Below are 2,923 nucleotides of genomic sequence, written 5' to 3'. Positions count from 1 at the left end.
TTCCTCAAAGGTAAAAAAAAAAAGTGGGGAGGTAGAATTTCTTTGAAATCTGCAGCGCATAATTTACTGCATGAAAGTGCAAGCAGCCAGTTCTTGGAAACAGAACAGCACCATCAGGGCAGCTGTTTCAATTATAAACCAGTTTTGGTTTAGCCATGAACATTCAGGAAGTTATTAAAACTGCACAGAATCATTGAATATTGGCACGAGAAGGAAACTTGGCACTCATGTTGTCCTCCACTTTTCTCAATTTATACATAAAGTCACTGCAGCCAGGCCACGTCAAGTGGCTTGTCCAGCGTTTCACAGTAAGTGGCCAAGTTAGAATTCATAATCAGGTTTTCTGGCTCATTGGCTCTGCCATACACAGTTTGTTGCCTATCCAATTGCCCATCCCTCTATCCTTCCCCATCTCCTACTTCCCTGCTCATAAAATCCTGATTTGTTTTAAAAAAAAAAAAAAACCCACAGGTGGAAAACCTGTGATTTCAGAAAAGAAGAGCCCCTCTGCCAGCCCCAGGGGATAAATCATTATTGGACTAAGTGATCTTCTCATATCCTTTGGCCTGTATTGGTCTGCCATGGGCCTGTGACTTATTTCTGTCTCATGAGATCTAAAGGACAGTCTTCTGGTAATGTGTAATTTCCCCTCCTGCCCAAGAAAAATACAGAACCTCAGAAGAGAAAAAAAAAATACTTCCTTTCAACTTTCTTTTTGCCTTGAACTCAGGTGTCACCCCTAGGGATGCTGCAGTTATTTTGCAACCGTAAGACAACAAGTCAATAGACTAAGTATAGCAGAAATAGAGAAAGGGCGTAGGTTGCTGAAAAGAAAGCAGTTGCCCACTTCCAGATTTCTTGATAAGCAAAGAAAAATAACTCCCTGCTTCTTTAAGCCACTGTTGTCAGATTTTTCTCACTTGCAGCAGGACCCATTCCTAACTTGTACTGCATCCCAGAGACCTCCAAACTGTGATTTTAGGAGCTATACAAAGTATGTTGCTGTCCCTTAAGGGTCAAGAAAGGTGAGGGATGAAGAGAGAGAGAAGAATCTACAATTACAGGCCCCTAACCCCAAAGTGAAACTGAGCATCCCTTTTCTCTCTGAGTCTCATATTGAACTTTCATAAAAGCTTTCATTGAAACAACATATCCACACTCTGGAATCATTTTGAGAACCGTTGCAGCATGCCAGACAGGCCTTTGCTTTCAATAAATGAAACCACAAATAAAAGGCCCAGGGGAGCTCAATAGGCAGATTAGTCCCCTGCAGATGCCTTTTGTAAAGAGATGAACCATCCTTCTATTATATAAAAATATGGATTTCACATGTAGGCTCACTTAGAATGGGGTGAGATTATTGTCTCCCTCACCAGGAGCCTTGAAATTGGCCTCTGGGACTACACTGATCTCCTCACTCCTTTCATTTCCAGCCACTGGTATGTCCTCTGATACCAGCAAGCAGATAAAATGATAAACATCACCAGCCACTCTCGGTGTCAACTCCCCTTTAGGGACTAAAAAGTGGAGAATGGTTATTATTCTGCACTGTGAAGAATGGGTTTTCCTGTTCACTAGAGAGCTGGGGGCAGGGACATGGTTTGGGGACACCTGGACTGGTCATTGACTGTGATTTTCCTCTTCACAAACCAGGAAAGTCTGATCTTTGCAAAGCTTTTCCTAATTAGAAGTACGGTGATTATTAACGTAGGTACTTCCAGAATGCTCACATGAATCTTGGGGAGAAAAGGAGAGTTTTATAAAAAGAATTTGGCTATTTTCCCAACTCAGGTAGGACCCACATGGGGAGAGTATCTCTGGTAGCCACAAGCCCAATAGAAAATCCAGGAGAAGGGAAAAAACAGAAACAAGCTAGATTGCATCTGTTTATGTTGCATAACCTCCTTGCTTCAAAGCCTGTATCCTCGACTTAGTTGGGAAGTTCAAATGTATGTGCATGCATATCAGATACCTCTGTGACCATCTCACATACTCCCAGCCCACCTTTTACCTTATCCATTGCCATGGCTACCTGCTTTATGCACATGTAACTTGACAGCATCTCAGTTTAACTCACTGTGTGTCTGGCTCTCTGACCCAGAATCCTTCTGATGCTACAGTATGGGCTATCCTCAAGACTCATGCATGGCTGCTCTCACTTATAAGTGGGAGCTAAACATTGGGTACATGTGGACACAAAGATGAGAAAAATAAACACTGATGATTCGAAAGGGAGGAAAGAGAGAAAAGCGCAATGGTTGAAAAACCACTTATTGGGCACTACGTTCACTACTTGGGCGATGGCATCGTTAGAAGCTCTCAGCATCACACAATATACACATGTAACAAACCTGCACACATACCCCCTAAATCAAAAATAAAATAATAAAATGACTCATGCATGGTAGAGCTGGAAGTAAGAGGAAGCCAGCCTCCCATGGGGAAGCCCCTGACCAATGGGGGAGAAGAATTGGTGAGTTTATCTTTTGTTCCCCAGAAAGGCAATTCAGAGGTACAATCACATAGCTCCTCAGATGCTCTCAACTGGTATAAGCCCCAGTAGCCCACAGCAGTGACCAACTCAACAATGCATCCTTGGAGTGGCTCTCCTTCCTTCCCTGTTTCACTCTTTCCAGTTCTCCACTTATTTTCCCTGGGATCACTTCCCTAAAGAAACTACCTGCCTCCAAGTTCTGGTCTCAGGAGCTGCTCTTTCTGGGTAAGAGAACCCATCCCATCAATTTATAACCCATGTAGAATGTCACAGTCTCCATCACTCCAAGAAATGCTAGGACAGGGCTTCCTAGCAGTTGTATCATCTGAGCTGTCATCAAGGAGGCATGTCCTTCTGCCAGACGGCTTCTGTGGTGGTCATAAAACATAGCCATAAATTATTTGACACTCCTCCCATAAATAGCTATGG

General features: G+C 43.1%; 1 annotated feature.

Moving 5' to 3' along the window:
• Positions 568-617: an enhancer, noted in NCBI's record as "active region_29562". NCBI's record gives its function as "activates an Ori minimal core promoter by ATAC-STARR-seq in GM12878 lymphoblastoid cells {active_cell/tissue: GM12878}" and the evidence as "EXISTENCE:reporter gene assay evidence [ECO:0000049][PMID:35858748]".

The sequence above is a fragment of the Homo sapiens genome, chromosome X, assembly GCF_000001405.40.
Source record: "Homo sapiens chromosome X, GRCh38.p14 Primary Assembly".
Taxonomy (NCBI): Eukaryota; Metazoa; Chordata; class Mammalia; order Primates; family Hominidae; genus Homo; species Homo sapiens.
This window is presented reverse-complemented; position numbering and strand designations above follow the sequence as displayed.